The sequence below is a fragment of the Homo sapiens genome, chromosome 10 (assembly GCF_000001405.40).
Source record: "Homo sapiens chromosome 10, GRCh38.p14 Primary Assembly".
Lineage (NCBI taxonomy): Eukaryota > Metazoa > Chordata > Mammalia > Primates > Hominidae > Homo > Homo sapiens.
The window spans coordinates 128,304,113-128,329,538 of record NC_000010.11 but is presented as its reverse complement, the minus strand read 5'-3'; the positions used below and the strand labels follow the sequence as shown (position 1 = coordinate 128,329,538).

The 25,426-nt window shown below is 46.2% G+C and overlaps 2 long non-coding RNA genes across 2 annotated transcripts in view, besides 2 other annotated features; one reads left to right on the top strand and one right to left on the bottom strand.

The window, feature by feature from the left end:
• Nucleotides 1-9,309: 9,309 nt before the first annotated feature.
• LOC124902558 (uncharacterized) lies at nt 9,310-13,256 on the top strand. The gene is made up of 2 exons (XR_007062388.1): nt 9,310-9,411; nt 13,165-13,256. It is a non-coding gene; the product is annotated as an uncharacterized LOC124902558 (long non-coding RNA).
• The window catches only part of LINC01163 (long intergenic non-protein coding RNA 1163), a 31,777-nt gene continuing 18,163 nt past the window's right edge, over nt 11,813-25,426 (bottom strand). Inside the window, exons 3-6 of the long non-coding RNA NR_120619.1 lie at nt 22,017-23,498; nt 14,942-15,110; nt 14,058-14,346; nt 11,813-12,616 (exon numbers count right to left, since the gene is read on the bottom strand). This is a non-coding gene — a long non-coding RNA (long intergenic non-protein coding RNA 1163). The remainder of the gene's footprint in view (nt 12,617-14,057; nt 14,347-14,941; nt 15,111-22,016; nt 23,499-25,426) is intronic.
• Nucleotides 17,584-18,084: an enhancer, noted in NCBI's record as "H3K4me1 hESC enhancer chr10:130109719-130110219 (GRCh37/hg19 assembly coordinates)". NCBI's record gives its function as "activates a minimal SCP1, AML or CMV promoter by ChIP-STARR-seq in naive H9 embryonic stem cells {active_cell/tissue: H9 hESC(naive)}" and the evidence as "EXISTENCE:reporter gene assay evidence [ECO:0000049][PMID:30033119]".
• Nucleotides 18,085-18,585: an enhancer, noted in NCBI's record as "H3K4me1 hESC enhancer chr10:130109218-130109718 (GRCh37/hg19 assembly coordinates)". NCBI's record gives its function as "activates a minimal SCP1, AML or CMV promoter by ChIP-STARR-seq in naive H9 embryonic stem cells {active_cell/tissue: H9 hESC(naive)}" and the evidence as "EXISTENCE:reporter gene assay evidence [ECO:0000049][PMID:30033119]".

The window sequence follows — 25,426 nt, the reverse complement described above, 5'->3', positions numbered from 1 at the left end:
ATGCATCTTTTGTCAACAGACTTTAATTCAACTCTGCTTTTCAATCAAGCCTGCAAGTCTGTCATTTGAGGAATTTGGCCTCTTCACATTTATCACTGGACTTACTTCTATTGTCCCTTATTTTTTAATACGTTCTTGTTGCTTCCCTTTATTCATCTTTTATTAAAGAATTGTTTCCTTAGCTCTTTTTTCTTTTGGTAATTTTCAAAGAGTAACTCCTGTTTTTATTCCACATGTGGTTATTTTTACATCCCTTTTTATAACCACATTTTTTTTTAGTTACCATTAACACTGTGATATTACCCAATGTCTCTTCCCAAGGAAAACAAAAGTTTAACGCACATTTACTTTTTATTTCCCTATCTCATTTGCCAACTTTTGTTTTTATTATCTAATAGCTAGAGTAGATAATTAATACTGAATTATTTGCATAACTTAAGCATTTAGATCTTAATAATTATATTTTGTACTTGGGTTGTTTTTTAATTACATAAGCTAAAGTTACTTCAACTCTACATACTTTGCTGGTTTTGCTGTTTACCTCTTTTTTTTTATGCTATGACTTCCCCATCCTTCCATAGCTGGCTGCAGGGTGTCTTCAATAAATTTTTAAAGAAGGGTACACGAGTGTCATATTTTTGAGGTTCTTTGCATATCTGAGAATGTCCTTTGCTGTAGCCAATTCTAATCAATATACACATAATGTGCACCTTCCATATGTCTGGCACCTTGCTAGATCCAAGGAAGAGAGAATTAATGAGACAGCACAAATCTTTGCAGTCCTTACCTTATGGAGTTTGCAGACTAACTGGATGCTACCTAAAAATGGCACATTGTCAGGGTAGAGAAGACTTGCATCAAAATATCGTTCTAAAAAAAACTCTGGAAACACTTATTCATTGTTGTCTAGTCTTTATTATTGCAGAAAAATCTACCCACTATCCAATTTGTCTCAAGGTACAGATGATCGCGGGAGATGGGGGAATACTGGAATTGAATTTTTTTTCAGGTACAATGTTCAGGTAAATAACAAAGTAAACAAAACCATTCATAATCTCAAGCAGAACAGACTACGAGCTCTGTGTTCCAATAAAAGTGAAAATGGATTTGGTCTTTTTGTAGGTAGAAGAAACTCATAACGGTTTGAGTTTTACTTCTTTTTAGGTTGATTGTTTTTTAGCCTACATGCATACTTCTTTTCAACATTAAAATTCAACTTCCATTGATTGTGTTTGGTACTCATAAAGCCCTTTTTATTCCTTGGAGATAACATTGGCTTCTCCGTTCACTGCACTCTCTTCTTCAGGAATTCCCATTATACATATATTGGATCTCTTGACCTTCCAGGTCTCCTGCTTTTTTTTTTTTTATCATTTTATTTATTTGTCCCTTTTCTCTGAGCTTCTCTATATTCTCAGGTTTATCTTCCATGTCAATGAATCAATTGTCTACAATTAACTGCCCACATTGCAGTTTAAATTTATTAATTATTTGTAAATAGCCTTTGAGGGTCTTGCTTTTTCCCCTGCAAAAAACAAAAACGAAACAACAACAACAAAAAAAAAACCCAGTTCTGATTTCATAGGTGCAGTGTCACCCTAAATTTTGTGAAAAATAGAAAAGAGGAACTTTCTAGAATTTTCTATTTCTTGCTACTACCTCATTTCATAGACAGACATTTGTTCTGAGTCCTTAAAACTTCTGATTGTCATAAGTCATAAGTCACCATTCTTTGCTTATCTTTATAAAGAAAGGTTTCTTTTGCCCGGTTTTTGAGTTATCATGGTTTCTGTAACTAGATCAATATTTCAGGCAGAGACTAAAGGATATAGGAAAAGTTCAGAGCTCTGCACTTGCTCTGTGAGATTGATTGCCCAGCAATGTGGCTGGGGAGGAAGCAGGGTCAGGGCCCTTCTGTGGAGGTGCTCTCCTCTGTCTGAGAGTGTCTCTCCACACTTCTGGGAGCAGAGTTTCCTTTCTCTGCAAGGTATGGCTGCTGGCAGGGTCGAGATGTGCTCTCCTGCCACCTCGGTCCCCGACCCAGCCCTTCTAGCTAGGGAACAACACTGCAGGTCTATGGGGTCTTTCCTAGAGAGTTCTCAAATGCACTTTCCTTCTTTGATGGGAAGACATGGTTAGGGTCGGTCCTGAATTTCCTGTTCTGGGGATGCTACTGTAGGGTGCAGCTCCAACTTTGGGTTTTCACTACTTTCTCATGTCTCTAGTCCTTTCCATGGGAAGCTTGGTAGTAAGGATGGGGAGAGATGGCAACCATGAGCCCACCAAAGGCACCAGGGCCCAAACCCACCTGAGAATGAGGAGGAAGGGCCAGGTTGGCGGGGAGAGGAAGTGCCTCGCCACCCGCTGCTGCCCCCAGTATGTAAGAGAGGCTGCTGCTCCTCAGCCCTAGGAGGGTCCTGAGCCCACCCAGCCCAGCACAGGGGAAGAAGGGCCCCGTGGGCAACGTGGCCCAGCTCTCCTAAAGGAGCTGACCTGTGGGGCCTGAGCAGGACAGCTGACTCCAGCCTCTGCCACTGAGACCATTACTGCTTCCAGTATCCACTGGGGCCCAAGTTCCCCAGCTTGGAAGGAAGGAGGGTGGGAGTGACCAGGCTCCCCGGCCACACCTTCCGGCGCGACTGGGGACCCCAGCACTCATCGCAGCTCCCCCAGCCCAGCTCGCTACAACAACATTTTCCCTGTCTCTGTAGGGAGAGCTGGTGATTCTTTCATTAAGAAACATTTTTACGTTGGCCTGTCTGACTCAAGGAGCAACAGAAGGCAAAGACTAGCGATTTTCACATCACGGTGAAAATAAAATTTCCTCTAGACAAGTCAACAAAAACACCCTGAGAGCAGGAAGGTAAATATGTACTTTCTCCTTGTCCTTTCTCATTTTCCCCTTTTGTGTGTTAAGAAGCCCCTGTTTTGCGTGGCTGGCAGGAAGACGTTGCGTGGGAACGCCTGCAAATCTGCAGGACCCGGAGAGTGGGGGCAGCGGCATTCCTGATCTCACTCCTATCGATCGCCTCTAATGAGCGCCCGTGCAGCTGCGGCTAATGGTGGTGCGTCTGGTGTTAAGGGCAAGTGTGGGAGAAGATTATCAACCCAAGGGGCTTCACAGTTGCCGGACGGCCCAGAGCCCTCGGGGCGAGGATGCACTTGAGAGGTCACTGAATCAAATGAGGGAAGATTCAGTGCCTGCCGCCGGAAGAAATGCAGCAGGACTGGATTTTTTTTTTCCAGCAGAGTCTACAGGCATCAACAAAACCGTTACCTTCTGCTAGTCATTAGTCCCTGACCCTTTGCCGGATAAGAAGGCTCCTACCGGAGCCGCCTCGTCCTAATTATGACTCATCAGACGGCAGCAATCCTACCCAATTAGTGGGGCTTAAGCGAGGGGCACTTGATGGAACAAGGGTCCGAGCCCCGTGTGAACCAGGGAAGCCTGAAGGCCTGATCCAATGCCCTCCACCCTGAGTCTGCTCTTACCTGGGGGGCCAGCCTGCCATTTGATCTGATGCGCTTGATATTTCATTCACTGTGTTGCTCGCCACCCCCCTCGGAGATCTGACAGGGGCCAGATGAGTGGCCATAAGAGGTGCTGAGGCCAGTGGCCTTCAAGGGACAGCTAACCGGCAGATCCCATAGAATGCTTGCAGTCAAATGTCAGTACAGAAAGGGAGCCACAGGTATTAGACAAGATAAAAAAAAATGACTGTCAAATGCCTTCGGGGGTCAGGCATGTTGCACATTCTGAACTTTAATAGCATAATGGAGTAATTGCAGCTGGGAAAAGAACTCAGACCCAGCAGGAAGGGCGAGCGCACTGAGGCTGGGAAACGCAGGCGGCAGGGAGGGGGCAGGGAGTGACAACGCATGTCCCCTGCTTTGCAGAAATGCCCAAACCACTATTTACTTTAACGCTGTAAATAAGCAATTTAAATATTATCCTAGTTCCATGATAAGTAACATGGTAACATGATACCCTGCGGTTATAACAAATTATTTATGAGGTTTTTTAAAATTCTAAGGCAGCATCTTTGTAACCGGCAGATTCACATTGGGTCAGATCATTAAAAATATGGGTGTGGATTGGCCCCGCCGCGCGAGGGAACATTGATCTCTGAAACACGACTGACAACCACATTCTCTTTGTCAGCTTTTTCTACAGGAGCGGAAAGGTCTTTAAAAGTGGTCACCCCACAAAAACGCCACACACACCAAAAACCCACCCTGTATGCTTCCAGCCCCTCTTCACATGTTTAGCAGAAGGAGAGATAAAGAACCCAAAACACCTGGGCTGGTTGACCGAGAAGCCCCTTCAGCTGTAAGCCCTGGTGTGTGCACATTCAAAATCATGCTGGTGTTTGTTTCCAGGGCCCCTGCAAGGCAGGTTGGGGAGCATCGAGTTTAGTAAAGACCATGATCAACTTTCTCAGGACCCAACATCATGAAGGGCATTAACCTTTATCGATGGTGCGTAAAAGATAGTGGGGGCTGAGCTGGCCATTATTAATGAAGATGAGCCTTCTTATGAATATATTAATTAAATTTTTATTTCTTAATAAGATCCTTACATATCTAGCTTAGGAGCCCTTTCTTTAGCTCAATGTAAGATACCACTGAACTTACCAAGAAACAGAAGCAGGGACTCCCGACCTCAGAGGTTCGGACAAAGTCAGAGAATATTGTGGGCCAGCACGTCTGTGATTAGGAAGCAAGCATGAGAGACAAGCAGGGCTATGGATGCTCACAAGGGGAGTCCTGGGTGCTGAGATGATCAGGGAGGACAAGCGGTGAGCACGTGGGCAAAGCAGAACAGGCTTAGGAGCAGGCAGAGGCTGGGAAAGCCTCCAAGTGCTAGCACAGAACAAGCTGAGGTGTGGGGCCAGGAGCACTTGAGGAGGGCATTAGATAGTACGTAGAGGGTGTTCCCAAACATACCAACAAAGATCACACACCCACAGAGCAGGACGGATCAAATATGGAAAGAAAAACCCATGACTGAGCTCTTTAGTATGTGTGTTTTTCTTTATTTGTAAGCTTTCTATAATGCACATATATTACTCTTAGAATGAGAAATATAAGTTTATGCAAAAAACAACGCAAACTGTGAATGCGCACATTCAGCTGCATAGAAGAACAAGTGTGAGGTCAAGAGGCGGCTGCGGCCAGAGGTCGGAGGCCTGGAGAGTCAGAAGTCAGAGGGAGGAGTCATAGCACAGCCACAGGCTTTCCCAGAGGCAGGCTCAGCATTGCATGGGTCAGGGAGCCCCCACGTGGCAAGGCTCTGAGTCTTGTCCTATTGTAGATCCAGCTTATTCCAAAGCTGCTACCCCGTGGCTGCCGCTGAGTGACATGGGCTCTGTCTACCCTGCTGCAGAGAGCAGGGACACAAATGACCATTGAAAAGGATGAAGTTGGTGGCATGTGCGGTGATTCTAATCAACATGTGGCAAGCGGAAGTCAGGTTCAGGTTTGTGGTCTATGCGGAGCATCTCCACATGCCTAGTGCTGAGCTGGGCATGGGAGCTCATGGGGTGGGGAGTGGGGGCTGCAGGAGTGCGAGGCCAGATCTCTGCCCTCAGGTGCCTGAACTGTCTGGGGAAATTTGCATTCTCCACGCTCCTTCTGGTGCAATGAGCCAGGTAAACCCCCTTGTTGGTCCAAATCTATGATACAAAGCCCCACTGGGCAACTAGATTCTCATCTGCTAGAGCTCAAAATGACCCAGGGCTCTGTGGGTCCCTGAGCTCCTAGGTGACCACAGTCCTCATGAGTGCTCCTGTGTGCAGAGATACATCATCTCAGACCTAGTGCAGGGGGGCTCTCAGTCCACAGAGAACCCAGCATCAGAGTCTGCAATAGACTTACAGTTTGTGATCACACACCAGATGTCACAAGGCTAATTAGAGGAAATAATCTATCCAAAAGCAGTCCTTGCAAACCAGGAGATGCTTGGTCATGCAACAATGAAGAGAGCTGCTCTGGGTCTTGCAGAGGGGCGGGCTCCTGATCCCAGTTCAGCGAGATGAATGCCAGTTAGGCTGAGCCAGACTGCCTGGGCTCCTCTCTCCAGCTGCAAGTCACACATCCCTGCCCATGCTGGCCTGGAAAGACAGGGTAGATGTTGAAGGCCACTGAAGAGGCCCCTCGCCCTCCTTAGGATTCTGTCTTCCCTCTCTTCAATATATTCTGCAGCCTGGGACATCACTCATTTGACTAGTGGCAACCATCAAGGTACAGGCTTGGTCTTATCAGAAGTGGCACTTAGGTAAATGAACACCCAGTGGAAGAGGATACAAAGGCCACAGCAAGACCTGATGGAAGAGAACCAGAGACTCCTGTGCCGAATTCCCAAGCTGAGTCAGGGAAGCACCCTCCTGGACATGTGAAGATGAGTCACAGGACATCCACAGGACAGGCTGCAGTGGTGCCTCCCCTCACCTGGGCCAAGACCAGCCAAAGTTCAGTTCAAGGGTGATTGTTGGAGATGCCCAAAACAGGTGAGGAGGACACTGCAAGAGTGAGTCCCTTGTTGTGCACCTGATAACTGAAGAATGTCCCTTCTCAACCAGAAAGAAATGGATCAAATAATATAGGAGCCAGGAATTCCCAGCCACAAACCCACACTTAGGGCATGCAATGGAGAGTTTCTCTTCCGATTTCTCACTCATGTGAGCCCCCAGTCCTACTTTAATGACAAGTTAATTAAGAATTGAATGAATCTAAGAAGCTATGATCAAATAGAGTTTGTCTTGGCCAAGAAGGTAGCTAGATTTCAAGATCCTGAAAGGATTCCATTGTGCATAGAACTTTTTGGATGGGATAAAATTTTCACAACAGAATGCATCTATTGTCATTTTATTCTTGATCTTTTCATTTTGTGGTATTGTAAAACCACAGAGAACCAACGAATCTTCGCTCTGGAAAGAACGTTAGAAGCTAGCCAACCCAATTCCTTTAGTTCACAAAAGGACTTGCCCAAGGTTCCAAGGGCTGGTTGGAGGCAGAGTGGAGGTTGTCATTGGTGTCTGGAGCTGGTATCCTCCCTGCCTGGCACAACCCGAAAGGCTTCTGACCTCTCCAGGACCTTATAACCGCATTTCAGAAGACATCTACAGTCTTGGCTCCAAACCCAATCGGCGTTGACATTGATCACAGCTGTGCAACTTTCTGCCACCCAGAATTCTGCCCACTATGTTGGACAGGGAAGCTTCGGTAGGTCACGTGGTCCCAGGCTCTGACCCTACTGACCTGTCCATGTGTCCCTTCCACCTTCCTGTTCCCACGCTGTCTCTGATCCACATAAGAGTCTCTGAACACTCAACAGTCCTTCCTATTTCTGGACCTTGCTCACACATTCCCCTCTACTTGAATGTCCTTTTCTCTCTGCACAGCCTAGGTCCTTCCAAGTCTACACCAACAGCCAAAAAGTAAAGTGTGACCTTCTCTAGGAAGGCTTTCCTGACACCTCATCCCTCCCTAGCTCCCAGAAAGCATGGATTCTCTGTAGGGAAGTGATGAGCACTGCACTGAATTCTAACTGCAGGACCAACAAGACTATGATTCTCTTGAGGGTGAAGATAGCTTTTACTTTATTTTTTTCTACGCTTAGCATCCAACAAATACCTGGTCCAAGGGAAGTGCTAAATAATTGACAAATGGCTGAAAATAAAACTAGCATTTACTAAGAACCTTTTATATTAACTCATTCAACCTTCAAAATAACAACATATAAGATATATATGAGTTTATGTACAAAAAAACTGGGGTTCAGAAAGTTAAAACACTTTGATGGGGTGTATGGAGCTGGTGCCCACAGGGAGCCAAGATTGAGAGGCCAGGGTGGCTACCAAGTGCAAAGAAAGAAGCTAGAATACAGGGTTCTAAAAAGGCCTGTCACAGAAATGCCTACTTCCTTCTTACAGCTGCACTGATTTTTCACAATCTCTGACTAAGTCCATGATCTTTTTTTATAATACATTATGCTGAAAGGATGGCCAGAGAATAGTGCAAACTAAAAAATAACTCCATTCTGCGGACCATTTGGGTGCATGCAGAAAAAAATCAATAGTTTGCAAAGAATTTTCATTATATTCCATTATTACTATATGTCAAGTTAAGTAAATGTGAGCAGGCTTCAGCCAAACCAACTGACAGGCGGTGGAGGGGAAAGGTATTGGCATTTCAACATGAAGAGCTCCACGGTTTTATCTCAAGATAACGCCAGTGGATAGGAATATCACTGCAGAGAAATCCAAGGGACAGTTCCTCCCAGACATGGGATCCTCTCCACATCCTTCTTGAAGAGCCTCACTGTGGAATCCACAGGCAGGCCTGCTACAATGGGTGGCCCACATGGGTCCTGGGTGGGGAGGCAGGGCTGGAAAGCAAATCTTGGCACCTGGGATCCTATTTTCCTATTATAGTTCATGAAAAAGTTGGGCCCCAAACAATGACAAATCACGCTTAAGATCACAACAGGCCAGGTGTGGTGGCTCACGCCTGTAATCCCAGCACTTTGGGAGGTCAAGGCAGGAGGATCATTTGAGGTCAGGAGTTCGAGACCAGCCTAGCCAACATGGTGAAACTCTGAAACCCTGTCTCTACTAAAAATACAAAAATTATCTGCGTGTGGTGGTGCACGCCTGTAATCCCAGCTAGTCAGGAGGCTGAGACAGGAGAATCGCTTGAGCCTGGAGACAGAGGCAGCAGTGAGCCGAGACTGTGCCACTGCACTCCAGCCTGGGCAACAGAGTGAGACTCCATCTCAAAAAAAAAGAAAAAAGAAAAAGAAAAAGAAAAGATCACAACGAAAATGTTTAAAACTTAAATTTTTAGGTGTAGTGGGATCCTTGTGACAAAACTGTTCTATATTTGACTGTGATGCTGATCACACAAATATACAAAATGGCATAGAACTAAACACATACAAGTAAGTGCATGTAAAATCTGAATACAGTCAGTGGGCTGTATAAGCATCAGTACCCTGGCTGTGATACGTACTGTGGTTATGCAAGATGTCACCCCAGGGTAAAGCAGATACAGGATCTCTCTGCATTGTTTCTTACCATGGATGTGACACTACAGTGAACTCAGGATAAAACATATTTTTCTGAAAAACTAGTCATTACTCAGATTAAGATTCTGGATGTACCAGGCACCATTGTGAGAGGTAACCAGTTGGCTGAGTTGTGTGGTCATGGCATTTGTGGTGTCATAGCCAAAGAATTGTTATGCTGTGCTCTGTGCTGGGGCTCCCATTTGCACTTTCCCAGACCTTTCCTTCCCACGGCGCTGCTCTGTAATTAGATGTAGTTCCCTCAGAGCGGACCACCGAGAGCCCAGGCCAAGGCCGAAATGGCCGAGCCTTCCTCTGCATCTGGGCAGCCTGTGATGCACCAGGTCAGGCATGGCGGGAATGGGAGGACTTCTGCATACTGCATTCTTCACTCTTAAAAAAGCAGGCATCGGCCAGGCGCGGTGGCTCACGCCTGTAATCCCAGCACTTTGGGAGGCTGAGGCGGGTGGATCATGAGGTCAGGAGATCGAGACCATCCTGGCTAACAAGGTGAAACCCTGTCTCTACTAAAAATACAAAAAATTAGCCGGGTGCGGTGGCGGGCGCCTGTAGTCCCAGCTACTCGGGAGGCTGAGGCAGGAGAATGGCGTGAACCCGGGAAGCGGAGCTTGCAGTGAGTCGAGATTGCGCCACTGCAGTCCGCAGTCCGGCCTGGGCGACAGAGCGAGACTCCGCCTCAAAAAAAAAAAAAAAAAAAAAAAGCAGGCATCATAGGAGTATGGGCAAAGCTGCTGAGTTTTGTATTTTTAGCATCAGAAATGCAGCCAGCTGGAGGGCGTCCTTGCACATCCATCATAGGAGTTGAGGAAAAGCCACTGAGTTTTGTATGTTTTAGTTTCAGAAGTGTAGCCGGCTGGAGGGCGTCCTTGTACCTCCATCCTTTCTCTTCCACGTAGCTTCTTTCTCTTCACATCTCAAACCCAAAGCCCAGCCCTCAACCCACTAAGCAAGGTGGAAATGTCCCTTATTGGGTCCTTCTCTGGACGGTGCTCTTCTCCCCAGCCTGTGACAGACAAGACCAAGACTGGAAATTAGGATAAAGCAGATTTCAACATGAAAATGCTGGAGACACTGTCAAAGTCTATCACCCTCAGGTAGTGTGGGTCACACATATTCCCAGCTTCCCAAATCCTGCAAGGAAGAGATACCACATTGCCAGACCAAAAAAAAAAAAAAAAAAAGACAAAATGAAAGCTTATTTATAAACCAAATGACAAATCAAGCCTAACTGAAGACTGTGACTTCCAATTGCACAGCAGCTGTTTGTAACTTGAGGATTTCACCGGGTAAACGACAGCCTCTGTTAGGCTGACTTCAACGCTCAATCCTCTCACACTCCCATCACAAGTTCTGAATGCTTTTGTTTATCTTGCAATCTTCAGGGTCCCTACCATGGCTGGTGCTTTTGGAACCTTTCCAATTCTATCATTCGAATCTGCCTCCCACTTATGGGCAGCAAAAACACAGTAAAAATGTGCAGTGCATCCTGTTTGCAACAGGAAATGAGTCTAAGACCCATGGCTTAAGAGAGCAAACACAGGTTCCCAGACTAGCACAGACCCATAATCAGCCTGTCTAGCAAGTTTGGAAAAGTTAAGTAAAAACTAAAATGGCTCCCAATGTCTTCCTGATCACACTGAAGCCACCAGGATTCTCTGAATTATGAGTGGCAGAAACACAACTCAAACTAGCTTAAGCACTAAAGATAATCCATGGCCTGAAATAACTGAGAAAGTCCAGAGGGGCAGTCAGGAGCCAGCCTCACCGGAGCCTGAGGTTCAGCCCTGCCAGGTCATGTGTGCCCTCGAGTCCGGCTGCCTCCTGCCTCCTTCGCTTGCAAGCAGATCACATCCTCACTCCAGGCTTTGGTCCTTAGAGTTCCTGATCAGTGAGAAAGCGAGCATCCCTCCTGAGAGCTCCAGCGCAAGCCCTGAGAAGGACTCTGTGTGGCCCAAAGGAGGTCGCGAGCCTATTCTTAAGGTGATCACGGAGGCTGCAGAGATGGAGAACTTCAGTTGGCCGCAAGGGGCCAAGAGCCCACTCTGGGGCTTCCCAGCTTGGGAGTGCAGATAAAGGGGGCATCCAGTATTAAAGGTGAATGCAGAAAAAGGTGTCCAGTTAACCTTCGTATCTAAGCAAGATTCTTTCAGAATGTAAAAAGTGCTGAAATATGTAGATCTATGAAGCATGCTTACAGTTACTGATGGCTGGTTAGAAGACAAATTTCTATAAGATAATTCAGATGCAGTTCTATTTTTAAACTTAAAGTTTCCCAGTTTGGCGGTTCCCATTCAGATAGCATTTTTAAAATATGGTTTCAGGGAATTTAATTTTAAAGGAAAAGGTGAAACCCAAAACCACTGGCTTTGAGTTTTAAATGGAGGCTTTTGGACATGTTGGTGACTTTATTTATTTATTTATTGACTCAACCTCATTGTCTGTTACAGTGAAAATGTACTGTGGGATCCAACTGCCTTGGATAAAAAGATTCCAGTCCTATAGTTCCCGAAAAAAAAAATTCTGTTTTGGTCCCAAGTCCATTCATTTTATTTATAAAAGAGGAAGCCATATGAAATACACAGGTACTATTTCATTTAAGAAGCTTCGAGTTTATATGGAGATAAAGTATTGCAAGGAATTTGCTTAAAGATCACTGATTAACGCAAATCATCTCTTGTTTGCCAAGAACAAATATACATTTGAAAATGAATAATTAAAAGGAACCATTTTTAAAATATTTTATTAAATAGTCCTGGTCAAATTGCTTAGAGAGACCACAGGTCACCTATAGGAATTCCCCACCTTCTGGACTATGGAAGTGCCCTCTAACAGGAATAAGACTTTAACAAGTGAGGACTCACTTAAAAATTTAAACCACCAAGACTCCCGTGGAATGTTGGGATTTCTTACTCATCAAAGCTCTCTTGGTGACAATGACAGAAACAGAACTCAGACAAGTTGGGAGAGAGGAGAGGATGCTTGATGGATAAAATTGGCAAGTTACAGGGGGTGGGTGGGGACAACAGGATCTGAGAACTTGATGTAGCCAGGCCCCATCCATGCTCGCTGCTACCTAAGTCGATTTTGTTCCCTCACTTGAGCTTCTTTATGAGGGCAGGACCATGTGTTCTGGAAGCTTCTGGGCTCATATTCCAGCTCCACAACAAGAGAGAAAAGATTTGCTTTAACTCTCCCTGCTTTGATGTGACTTAGATTCGACTTTGCCACATGACCAGGTCCAGACCTGTCACATGACCAGAAGAATGGGGCACTGTGATTGTCTCAGCCTCAGTTCCACAAAGCCACATTCCAGAAGGCGATGGTATGTGGGGTGGGGGAAGGTCTGCACCACCGCCTTAGGTCTAGGCAAGCAAACAGGGATCCAGGTCAGGACTCAGCGTTAGAGTAGCGCCACTCGAAGTCCAAGGAGCGGTGAGGTCCACATGCTGTTCTGTCAGTTATGAGTCCAAGACAAGGAGCTGCATCAGCATATAACAGCACACTGCCTCCTCTACTGAGAAAGACTCACTATCAAAAAAAAAAAAAAGTCAGTTCAACCAAACAGTGTGTTCACAGACATATTTGGCTTCGTGCATTTGAGTGATGCTTCTGCACGGTACGCTGAAAGGTACTGGAGATGCAGAAATAAATCACACACACACACACACACACACACACACACACACCATTTCTGATAATCTGGCAAGAGAGAAGGGCATATACACAAAAAATATAGTGCAGTGATGGCTGATGAGCATAAGATCAAGGTATTCATGGCAAACCCCTGGATGAAAGATCTATGATTTCATTCAAAACAGAAAACCTGTTCAATGGAGCCCTCTAAAGAGCTTGTATAGCAAGACAGTGCCGCCCCGTTCTGGCGATCTTGTGGGTCCATCCCTAACAGGACCCCAGGAGAGACAATCAGCAGCAGCCCAGTTAGGACTTTGGCCCTGAGAATTGAGTAAACTTTGGTCCTCACCCTGTGCTCCAGCATCACAATTCCAGCTCTGGATTCCAACTCGTCCTCACTGCTGAAGCTCAGGATCTGACCTTGAACTCTCCTCTGCTTTCAGACATGAAAACCCCTCATGGACCATTCCGGAGCCATGCCAGAAAATTACCCTTGCTAATTACAATGAAATAAAGAGTACTTCTGTGCCAAGCAGCAAGCCTATGCTATCTCTACAGCAACTGTCAGGGAAAAAGCAATCCAGAGTCGCATTAAAAGAGAGAACTGTAAGTATTGTGCTCTCTCAGGAAATTGAAAGAAAATTCACATCTTTACTTTTGTCTTCCAGCAGATGTCTTTACCTTGGTGGATGCCCTTTCTGCCTGCAGATGGGTCAGGTAGCGGAGGGCTGGCTCAAGCCAACAAACGCACTTGAATTCCCCGATTCTCCAATCTCTCTGAAGAATACTTAATCTTAATGATATTTCTTGCAGATACACATTAATTCTGCATTGTTCCAGTCACAGAAAATGCCATCTTCTTGGACCATGGTATTAAACATTCACTTCATGTTTCTGTTTCCAAGATTGAATCTTTCTTTTGTCGGGGACACTGCTTTGTCGCTGGGGCGCCAGGCTTCCTCAACCTCTGCTCTCTCCGTGAGTTCTGGTGCTCTCCTGTTGTTACCCGGTGGCCCCTCCAAAAGCTTTGCATCATGCTTTCCCTGCCCATGGCATTAAAATGGCCCTGGTTATTCCTTTTCGTGCCAAGAGCAAGCTGGAAACCGCCTTGATAGCCTTCAGAATGGACCAAAACTGCCCCCCTCTTCCTAAGGGCCTTTGCAACAATGATCTCCAATTCTAACGTGTTTGTGCCATTCTAATTAGTCCCTTCTAACAAGGGCAGAGATGCAGATAGAGACAGAGAGACAGAGACATACAGAGAGAAAGAAATATCACCACAAAAAACAAACAAAATTCCCAGACGCACCAGGAAATACTCAGAATCTTCACTAACCAATTTTCAAGTCTTCCTTTCCTGGTATCTTAACTGCTTCGGGGTTTTCTCTCAGCCAGGGGGCTGTTCAGTGCAAAACAAAAATCATAAGAAAAGCATCGGTAACAATGCAGGACAAATTAGCAGTCAAGGAGCACAATTTTTATGAAGTTCTCTTTGATTAAGAAAACAATACTTTGTTGCCTTCATTTCACAAAATTATTCCAATAGAAGGCTGCATGGAACAGAAAATCCAGTGCTGAATCATGAAAGGCAGTGGATCAAGGTCTTTCATCTAGGAAATCTTTAGCTAAAGAGAGAGAGAGAGAGAGAGAGAACATCAATCAGATATTATTTCCAATTATTTTTCAAATTGGAACAGAGAAAGAAAACACACACACACATAAGCCTGACATGGTGTTACTTGAGCTTGTTGCTGGAAGGAAAGTCCTTGCTTATATTGAAGTAAAGTTCTGAAAATAAGCAAAGAACAGATTTATTGATTTTGGGGGAGTCTGGGTGTAAAAAAGAGAGAGAATAAAGAAGTGCTCTTTGCCCACTCTGTCCAAATGACATCCCAAGTGGCCTCCCTAATGGTGGGGGAGGGGAGGGGGCAGGTGCCTACCCGGGCACATGGACAGAACTGCCCTTAGGCTAGGGCTAATGGTATTGGCTGAGCCCTGCTGTAAGCCTCTCTTTTCTAATAGCCAACTTTCTATGTGTGAGAAGACAGACAGATATTGATTGGTCCAAATGCCCTTGAGTTGACAACATCTGAAATGAAAATCCACAAGGCTAGCACAAACTTTCTGCAAGTTCAATTTCTAGAATCTGATTATGACACTGGACTGTGAAATCATTCACACATGTAAAAGGCCTCTCTTTTTTGTACCCCCATTTGGCACCTGTAATTGGAGGGAGTTAAGTGGCCTCATCAAGCTTGTTATTCAAATATCCAACAGAAAGAGGCAACTGCAGGCTAATCTTGGGGTGATTAAAGGAAGAAACGTTCTCCCGCTGGTGCAGGGCTAATGTCAGCAATGAAATGGACCAAGGCCTCACACCACTCCCCACCTGAAAAAGGAATTACACACAGCTTAAATACACGGTCTCTAAAAAGCTCATGCACAGAGCTGCTTTCTGATAGTTATTTCAGAACACCTACAGAGAATCTCATGATTTCATTACCCATGCATTTGGTGGGGATTAGAGCCCCCATTTCGTGGTCCCCATTACTCTATCACAATTAATTATTTTTTTCCTCTTCCTTCCTCTCCCAAATAAGATGCTGAAACTGCAATTCACAATTGTTAAAGTCCTGGGAATAGCAAGGTTTGTGGTACTCTATCCAGCTCTTATTAAAACACACCTCTGTATTCTACAAATTCCTCTTGATCAATACATCGACTGCAGTATAAACCTTAAATAAAGCACTATTACACTTGAAATACACACTGTTCTTGTCTTAGTAGGTTATTTAGAAGCATAAAAAGGCAAAACCTTTTGGAATTGGCATCTGGACATTTGTGCCAAGGAAACTGCAGATGGAATACACATTAAATTTATTCCGTCATTGATTGGAAACGCTGATCCTTTATGGCTTCACGTTTCTTTCCTCATTAATCTTAGTTAACCCTCTCAAAACAACGCCAGCTTTGTCAGTCCAAGTATCTAAAACCCACCATGCAGAGAAGGCAGCTTTTTAAGAAAGGTTTGATTCCTAGCATGAGTAAATCAGCCAAGAATCTCTGCCTTAGACAATGCCACTGCTTTCTTTTTTAAAATATTAAAACAAGAAAGAACAGCTTTCTGCACAACTTGGGGCTGGGGGAATAAGTGGGAGGCAGAAGAGAAGGGGATGTTAGCAGAGCCCAGCGGGAAGCCCATGGATAGTCAGAGAAGAGATGAGCAGGAAGCTCGCGGACTTGTTGCTACAGCACCAGCCACAGGGAGTCATTTTCAGCACACATCCAACATCACCCATGACCAGAACCTGGCGCGGCCAGGAACTCTGCAGGTCAATGTTTCATGACTTCTACAGCTCAAGAAAAGGTGCTTTCCAGTCAAATATACATCTGGGGTTTGGGGCTAATGCAATGGTTCTAAACATAAAAGGAATACTCTCAGATGTAAAGATTGTGTTCCTGCACCCTAATTTGGCTAACTGATATGATACTAACATTCCATTTTTCTACCAAACAGAAAGAAATGCCTGGCATCACTACTTCCTTGCCCACAGCAATATAAGGGCCATGGGTAAAGCCTCATGCTGCCAACAGCTGGCCCCAAACTGCCTTACTGCCCCTCAGAACAGGGCACAACTGCCCTATTCTTCCTAACAGCCTTGCAACAGTGCGCACCAGTCCCAACCTTTTTATGTTTTTCTTACTGGTCCCTTCTAACAAGAGACAGAGAGAAAGAGGTGAAGAAAGGAAATACTATGAAAACTTGGACACAAAATTCTTAAGGCTTCTAATTCTAGAAGAAATAGAGAATTCCTAGAAAGAAATAGTAACAATCACCACCTATTTACTACAGCAAAAATTTTAAAATGTTTAACAAAGGACTTAAAACCCTACCTGCTGCCATGAAGCATGCATTTAACTTACTGCAACCTTATGAATGGAGCTCCAGAAGGTAAAAGCCCTTTTTGAACTCATGAAAAGATCAACATCTGAATATATATTAAAGATAAAGTCTAAATAAGTCATAAAAGGCAGAAAAACAACAGCCTAACTTCTAGGTGGATGCGGGAGCCACTGGTCCCCACTGAGGGGTCAGAGCCCTGGGGAAGGAGGTGCTAAATAGATTATGCTCACATTGCATCCACATAGGCCTGGTTTTAAATGGCGGGCTGTCTTATTGGAAGGAAAATATAAATCTCCCAGCCCAGAAGAAGATGTGATCTCAGCACAAAATGGGAAACAATAGCTGGAAAGTATACCAGAACTTTCGGATGAGATACAAAAAAGTTAGTCCGCATGTGATTTATCTTCATGCATCTAGACATTTGGAAACAGCTGTTCGGATCATTCCTGAGTACTACGATTTAGAAAGGCCCCCACATACCCAGAATCAGCCTGGGGCACAGGACAGGAACAGCATTCGCCCTGGGACTGACTAGAACCCATCTACCCCGTCGCTGCATGCCATCCCCAACAGAGGGCCATCTATGGGATCTGTCAGGCTTCCCTCCCTTTCCAAGCAGAACTGAAGAGCAGTTAAGAATCACAGCACTGGCTCTGAACTGTGGCTCCGTCATCTTCTGCCCAAGTGACAAGTCCTCGAATTTCTGCACACCTCTGACTCCTCCACTACAAATGGAGATTCTGTCTCCTACCCAGTAGTCTTTTGGCCCTCAAAACAGCCCCCAGGGTGCTCTAAAAGGCCACACCCCTCCTTCGGCACTTGTATTCTTCATCACGCTCTCAGCCCCGGATGGTTTCTGTCTACTTCCAAAGAAAGAGAAAATCAGCCATTATAAGAACAGTCGAACAAATGAGCATCAAGCTTTGAAGCCTGTTCCAAAAAGTGAGTTTGAATGTTTGAGCAATGCCCCACTTTGGTGGGGTCACTCAGGCTTCCAAAGTGACTCTGGAAGAGGTTACAGGTGTCAGGGAGCTCCAGCCTAGCTGTTTGCAAAGTCACCTCTCTGCCTTGACCTGAAAGTCAGAGCTTATCAGAAACATCCGAACATCTGAAAAATTCTTCTTTTTCTCCGACTGTGAACCAACCTACCGCCAAATGAGTGTGCAGGAAGACAGTGAGGATTCAATTACAAAAAATTTACCTGTCTTGCCTGTCCCATTCATGAGGTCCCAGCTCTGTGGCCCAGTGTTTGCTCTGCTTATGAGAGGCATTGGCAGAAGGCCCTGCCCAGGCTGGGTTCTGATGACAGGCACCCCTCGTCACACTCCAGTGGACTCTTCTGACAGAGTCAGGACCCCTGGGGGCAGAATCCTGTGACCTAATTGAGTGGCAACCCCATTTCAGCCATGTCACTGCCACCAGCAGGGCCCCGGGCTCTGTATAGCCACCTCAGACAGTCTCTCTCAAAGCAGGGCTTGGGTCCCCATAGCCTCTCTTGGCTGAGTGAGTGGGAGTTGCAGTGCGGCCGGCTGCTCACAGCAGGTCAGTCCAGTTAAGCCATCCACGCTGGGCCAGCTCCACAATAGGGACCAGGCAGAACATGCACTTTGCTTTCTTAGAGGAGAAAAACACCTTTTGGATTGAGGACAAAAGATCCACTGAAAACAGCCTTCCTGTATTTTCACATGAAAAAAAAAAAACACCTCGAAGACAATGAGCTTCACCAGATGCAGCCAAATTCCAGGGCAGAACCCTCCCCACCGCTCCGCCTCCACCGCAGCCTCCTTCTGGCTTGTCCTTCAACAAACAAAAACATGTTTTGTTTTGTTTTTTCTCATTTCACAGTAATACACACTTTTGGTAGGAAATACATAAAAATGAAGAAAGAGAAGACAATTCTAAGACATCTATAATTCTAATTCTTCTTTCCAGAATAACCACAATTTTTGGTATATTATTCTAATTTTTTTCCATGAGTTTACTTTTTTTTGTTTTTTAAAACAAAAACACAATTATACTCTACATGCCTTTTTTCAGTTATAAACATAATCTGAATAACTTTCAAGCCCTTAAATATTTTCTTTTCATGGCATTTAAAGGGTGAAGAGTTGTAGCATTGTGTTTGCCCGAATAAATGCCATGTATTGAGATAAGCCATGCCATGAGGAACATCCTTACCAGCCCATGACTATTTCCTCAGAATTGATAAATAAGGATAAACTCAGACAGAACTGGTTTAGTTCAACTGACATGCATTTTTTTAAGCAGGAAAATACTTTTTAAAAAAATAACTATATAAAATAAATGGCAGCTGAGAGCGGTGGTTCACGCCTATAATCTTAGCAGTTTGAGAGGTCATAGCGGGCAGATGACTTGAGGTCAAGAGTTCAAGACCAGCCTGGCCAAAACGGCAAAACCTTGTCTCTACTAAAAATACAAAAAACAGCTGAGTGTGTTGGTGCACGTTTGTAATCCTTCCTACTCAGGAGGTGGAGACTGAGATTCTCTTGAACCTGGGAGACGGAGTTTGCATTAAGCCAAGATCACGCCACTGCACTCCAGCCTGGGCGAGCGAGACCTTGTCTGAAAAAACAAAATAAGTGAATAAATAAAATGGCAACCTCATGAGTTAGAAACTTGCCACACCATTTTCTGGAACATGCTCCAGGAGCTCCTTGATCTCCTCTCTGTGCTGCTAACACCACCTTTCTCAGGGGCCACGAGTGTGGCTGGCACTGTTTCTGCTTCTCAGTGTGGCCTCTGCAAGAAGCACCACTCAGCATCACTCTGAGCAGAGCGACCACTTTGCTTACAGCGTATGTACTTTGCTCACAGTATCTCCTCTCTAATGCCAGGGGCAGAGGAGCACTCCTTCTGGGCAGGAAGAAACACCTCTGCCAGCCGTTACGGCCTCTGTCCAGGGTCAGCCTCCCCCTGTTCTGGGAAGCCTGCCCTCCTGTCCCCAGGTGGAGATATGGAACCTGGGGATGGGGTCTGCTCAAGGCGGGTGGGATCCTTAGGTTTACTTAAGGTGGCAGGGGTAGGGGGTGTGAAACCCAAACTCAGTGTAGTCCAACCTGCTTCTCTCCATGGCCTCCCCGTCTCTCTGAGGGATGCTCCCCAGACCTGCAAGCCAGGCATTTGCGGCATCTTCAGGCATTGGAGGCATCTTCAGTCTTTCTCTGTGCCTCTCTCTGCCCCTGTCACCAATCAATAGCTTGGCCACAAACCCCTAAAACTTTCCCTTCAGAATATTTCAGAGCTGGTGGTGCAATTATCTGGCATGCAGAGTGCTTGGCACGGCTCCTGGCAATACGCATTCCCCACAATTCTGTACCAATTGGCTTACACCTGTGTGTAGGTGTGCATGTAGATGGATGGATGTTTCCACACACAACAGCCTTCTCTGCCTGCCCTCCTGCCCCCATTCTTTCTCTACTTGGACTCCAGGTTGGGGTGGGGAGTTAGAGGTTTGTTTTTTTTGTTTGTTTGTTTGTTTTTTGAGACAGAGTTACGCTGTTTGGCCCAGGCTGGAGTGCAGTGGCATAATCTCAGCTCACTGCAACCTCCACCTTCCGGTTTCAAGCGATTCTCTTGCCTCAGCCTCCCAAGTAGCTGGATTACAGGCACCTACCACCATGCCCGCCTAATTTTTGTATTTTTAGCAGAGATGGGGTTTCACCATGTTGGCCAGGCTGTTCTCGAACTCCTGACCTCATGATCCACACGCCTCGGCCTCCCAAAGAGCTGGGATTACAGGCATGAGCCACCGCACCCAGCCAAGTCTTTTAAACTATCAATCTGAGTATTCATTCATTTGCTTAGACCCTTCAGTGGCTTCCTGTCATCTCCAGGGACAAGTCTCGAATTGCTCACACACCTTACAAGGTCCTCTCCATCTGTTCCCACCACCTCTCCAGGGTCACGTCTCCATTTCCCTCCAATGCTCCTCCCCAACTACCACCTCTGCACACTGGCCTAGACAGCACTAGCCACATGTGGGCATTCAGATTTAAATTTAAATTAATTAAAAGTAAATGAAATCAAATATTCAGTTCTTCCATTGCACTAACCACACTGCATGCTCGGCTACCATCTTGGACAGCACAGATGAAGAACATTCCCAGTATGGCATTCCCTGGACAGGGCTGCTCCAGACCTAGAGAATACCACTCAATCTCTCCAAAGAAGCATGGTCTTTGCCCCTGGTAGTTCTGACCCCATGTCTGGGGAATCTGGGAAGACATCAACGAATCGTTGTCAAGATCAAACCCCATACTACATTTGTAAGCATCATTCTTCTTCATTTATTTGACTGGTTTTTTTCCTGAACTGTTTCATCAGCTCTTGGGCAATAGACTCCAAGTGTAGTAAGCAGACCACCCCTTAGCCTGCCTGATGGCAAATTCCACTTTCCTAGTGTGTGTTTTCTAAAGCAAAGCTCCCTCCATCTATTTAATGCCCCAGTCTGTCCTCGCAGGTGTCCCCATCAGCCTGGGTGCAGGTGCATCACACAGGGTGCTTCGTCTTTCTGAATACACCCATGGAGCCTCATGGTATCCAGAGACTCTCCCCTTGTACACTCTGCAGCTGCAGCTGGAGCAGCGGGGGCTGGAGGGGTCACTGCCCGTCTCCACCACACAGCCTGATGCCCCTCCTTGGAGCCAGTACCAGGGCCAGGCATAGCTTGGCACAACACACATGGTCAACCAGACTTTGAGACTTGGAAGGGGGCCAGAAGTTCAGAACCCACCCAACTGGTGCACCCAAAACCTCATGTGAGTGGCCTCCTCTTGTTAAGACATAAAGGCTCTATCTAACATGAAAAGGAGGAAAAAGTTATCCAGGAGAGGAAACAAGCCAACAATTGCCATGCATTCATGCCTAGTCAGCAATTAGCACAAGACAGGTTTCAGTGTCAACACATGGAGAAGACATGAGGGGCTGCAGCCAGGAAGGGGGCCCAGGGGTTCTGAGGGTGAGCAAGAAGAAGAGAGAAGGACAAAGGTGGAGGGAGTGGAGTCCGAATCCCACCCTGCCCCCCAGTTTGCTCAAGGCCCACCCTGTTCTTCCAAAACACACTGGCCCACCTTGCAAGCAACTTGCAGAATGAACATTTTCGACATCAAAATATTAATAATGAGGCACCTTCTCAAGGATCTCCTTGGAAACTTGCCTTTGGTTAAGGAATTCCTAGCCCAGGAAAGCAGTGGGAATCCTGCAGTAAGTGGGCTTGTTAAGATCAGCTGGCAGGGTCCCAGCAGGCTGCTCCACAGTCGATGAAAATTACTAAACATCATTGCAAAGAGTGCAGAGTAATTCCACGGACCAAAGAGAAAAGGGAGATGAAATTAATTGGCACCAGAAGTAAAGACCAAACCCCAGACTTGCCATAGAGCATTTGCTGACCAGAAGGGCTTGGGGAAAATCTGAAGGAGACCTGTGGGTTGCAATTATCCATTCTTTGTGGCCTCCGGAGGCCCTGGGTACCTTGGTGATCACAGTGAGAGAGTGGCTCCCATCTGCAGGATGTTAATAGCTCCAGTCCATAGGCCTCTGGGAGTCCTGTAGAGACCAAACCACATGCATTATTGGAGGAGACAGCATAAGGGGGTTAACATGAGGACAAAACTTACAGCTGTAACCTGCAGCTTCTCATTGTAGAACCAGGAGCCCCTGGTACCCAAGGGGCGGCCACCACTGAACCCAGCAGCCAATGGGGAGATGGCATGGGGAGAAGCTTTGGGAGCCTCTAGTCCACTTGAGCTTTAGTACCCAGACCTACCTTTCTGGAGAGGTGGGACAGGCAGGGTGGAGATGTCACTGCTGAAAGAGAAGAGCAAGCAGCCAACCTCCTAGTCCTTTCCACCAAATGTTTGCTCCTGCCTAGGAGGCGACCTAATCCTTCCCAGGCAGGGATGCAGCTTCTGTTTGCAGTGGTACAATGAGATTTCATCACTCCTAAAGCTCCTTAGCCCTGTGCCAAGGGTTGTCATTCTAGATCCCACTTCCCAGAGCCGGCTCCATACCTGTCGTGCCTGGCTAAGAAAAGGGCTCCACATGGGCATCACATAGGTGCCTTTGAATTGCACGAGTCTCCTACTTCACACTTGGGCAACAGTCCTCAGACAGAGAATGCTTTTGGTTGGGACATGAAGCACATTTTTTTCCTCTCGTACAGCCCCTGGGGTGGAAGTGTGCCATGGAGATTGACCTCATGCATTTGCTAGTTTCCTTCCTTACGTTGACATAAAACAGCATTTGGTTTTGATCCAACACAGAAAAACCTCACATCAGTACTGGAGGGAGCGGATGCCATTCATGGTTTAAAATGGAACAAAAACACCAAATGAGGGTGTTTTGGGGGGCTCTACAGTTGGTGACAAAGGGCTTCATTTTAATGTCTAAGGACCACATATTACACAAACAGTGCTAGCTTAGAGGAGGCTGTCTTCTTCACACTGTGCTCCCTAAAGTAGCTAGACATGGCATTTCCATTCTATTCCACTGACTCAGGGACAGAAAAAAAATCACCCTGAAAAACTTACTGGCATTAAAACCTTGCCATGCACACTGGTCCCTGCCCAGCTTTGGGTCCAACACCAATTCGTCCTCGATTTCTTCCCCAAATACCAACCCATACGGAATTAAGTGGGCTCTGTGATGCTAACATGATTTGCCTGTATATTCCTCCCAAGGCACTCTCCCCCATCATGAAGCATGGCCGGGCAGTGGGGCTGCAGTAGCCACAGGCTGTCCTTGTTCCTGCCTGCCGAAGCCGCCGGCTGCTGGCTGCCGCTGATCAGCCGGCCCCCAAGGCGATGGCCTAACAAGCCCCAGTAGAAGCGAATGGGAGGGGCTTCTCTCTTCCCTCTGCAAAGGAAATGAAATGGATAGAAATTATACTGAGAAGTCATTCACCCCCACCCATATCCATCATTACACAGGAATGGGCTGGCAAAGGATCATGACCCATGTGAAGGATTATACAGCCAGACCCACGGCCACCTCTGCCACCTTCCCCTGTCCCACCCAATCACGTGAAGGATTATACAGCCAGACCCACGGCCCCCTCTGCCACCTTCCCCTGTCCCACCCAATCACATGAAGGATTATACAGCCAGACCCACGGCCATCTCTGCCACCACCCCCCATCCCACCCAGTCATGTGAAGGATAATACAGCCAGACACACGGCCACCTCTGCCACCGCCCCCCATCCCACCCAATTAAGAAAACCCAGTTTGCTTGGATACCATCTGGTTCTCAGACTCCCTACCCCCACACTCTTAGCTCTGCACCCCTAAAATTATAATAACCAGAAAGGAGCTTACCAGAAGGCTTTAAGGATTAATCATTATATCACCAATGAAAATAAACTGAAACTATTTTCTAAAATAAAAATGCTCTAGGAAGGCTGAGCACAGTGACTCACACCTGTAATCCCAGCATTTTGGGAAGCCAAGAAGGGTGGATCACCTGAGGTCAGGAGTTCAAGACCAGCCTGGCCAATATGGTGAAACCCCAACAAAAATTAGTTGGGCATAGTGGCAGGTGTCTGTAATCCCAGCCACTTGGGAGGCTGATGCTGAAGAATCACTTGAACCCAGGAGACAGAGGTTGCAGTGAGCTGAGATCATACCACTGCACTCCAGCCTGGGCAACAGAGCGAGACTCTGTCTCCAAAAAATAAAAAATAAAAAATAAACTCTAGGAAGAAAAATTCAAAAATCTATCTCTAGTCGTAACTTTAGGTTACGGCTAGAATGATAATTTGAGTTAGAGTATAATTGACAAAAGAGGAGTTTTTGTTTTTTTTTACCTTAATCTGGGTGGGGTAAGTTAATAAAATGAAACATATTTAGAGGTAAAGATTATTTTTCTTCATCCTAAAGTGAATAGGAAGACAATAAAATCATTTAAGCAAAGGGACGACATAATAGGTTTGAATTTTAGAAAGGTCAAGGAGGGAGGCAGCTGGGTGTAGGGAGAGCTATGGGGTGGGATGGGCACCCTCCGCATCATTCCAGGCACATGGATACAGAAATCACTGGAACAGAGAGATGCCTGCCCTCACGGGGCTTACAGTCTAACTGGGGGAGACTGAAAACAAGCAAATTAATGAAGAAAGCATGTACACCAGAGTGCTGGGGAGGAAAACACACGGGGAGGGGAAGGGGATCTATCGGGTGAGTGGGCACAATTTTGATGATAGTGCTCGCCAGTATCTCAGACCCTTTCCATATAGTTTGAGACTTTTATCAAGTTGTCATCCACGTGTTGGGGCCACCAGCAGTGGATGGAGGAGGGCACTGAAGCAGAAAGAACAGCAGGGGCTGTAGGTCTCATGGCCACTGCACTTGGGAGAGCAACAGCCTCAGTAGGAGAGGGACCATGACCTTCAGATCTGCAAAGCTGACCACAGTGAACCTCGACATTTGAAACTCACCTCCCATGCGGCCCCCATCCACCCAACCTGCACACCCAACTCCCTACAAACCAAGGGGTGTTAGGATGCCCATGGTCCACGGTTCACCTGGGGGTTCTGGCTCATGTATTGAAGTGGTCAGCCGGTTATTCACTCCAGTAGTCATTCTAAAGATATTTATTGAACATCAGAGGTGCTTGGCACTAAAGTAGGGGAACCAGGGAAAGAAGACACATTGGAAGAACACGTCCAAACCACTGTCCATACTCCAGTGGGGGCACTGGAGGACAGACTAAAATACAATGTCACCATCAGTGGACACAAGGAAAGAGCAATGTGCCAAGTAAAGTCCAAATTCTTTCTGTCTAAGGGGT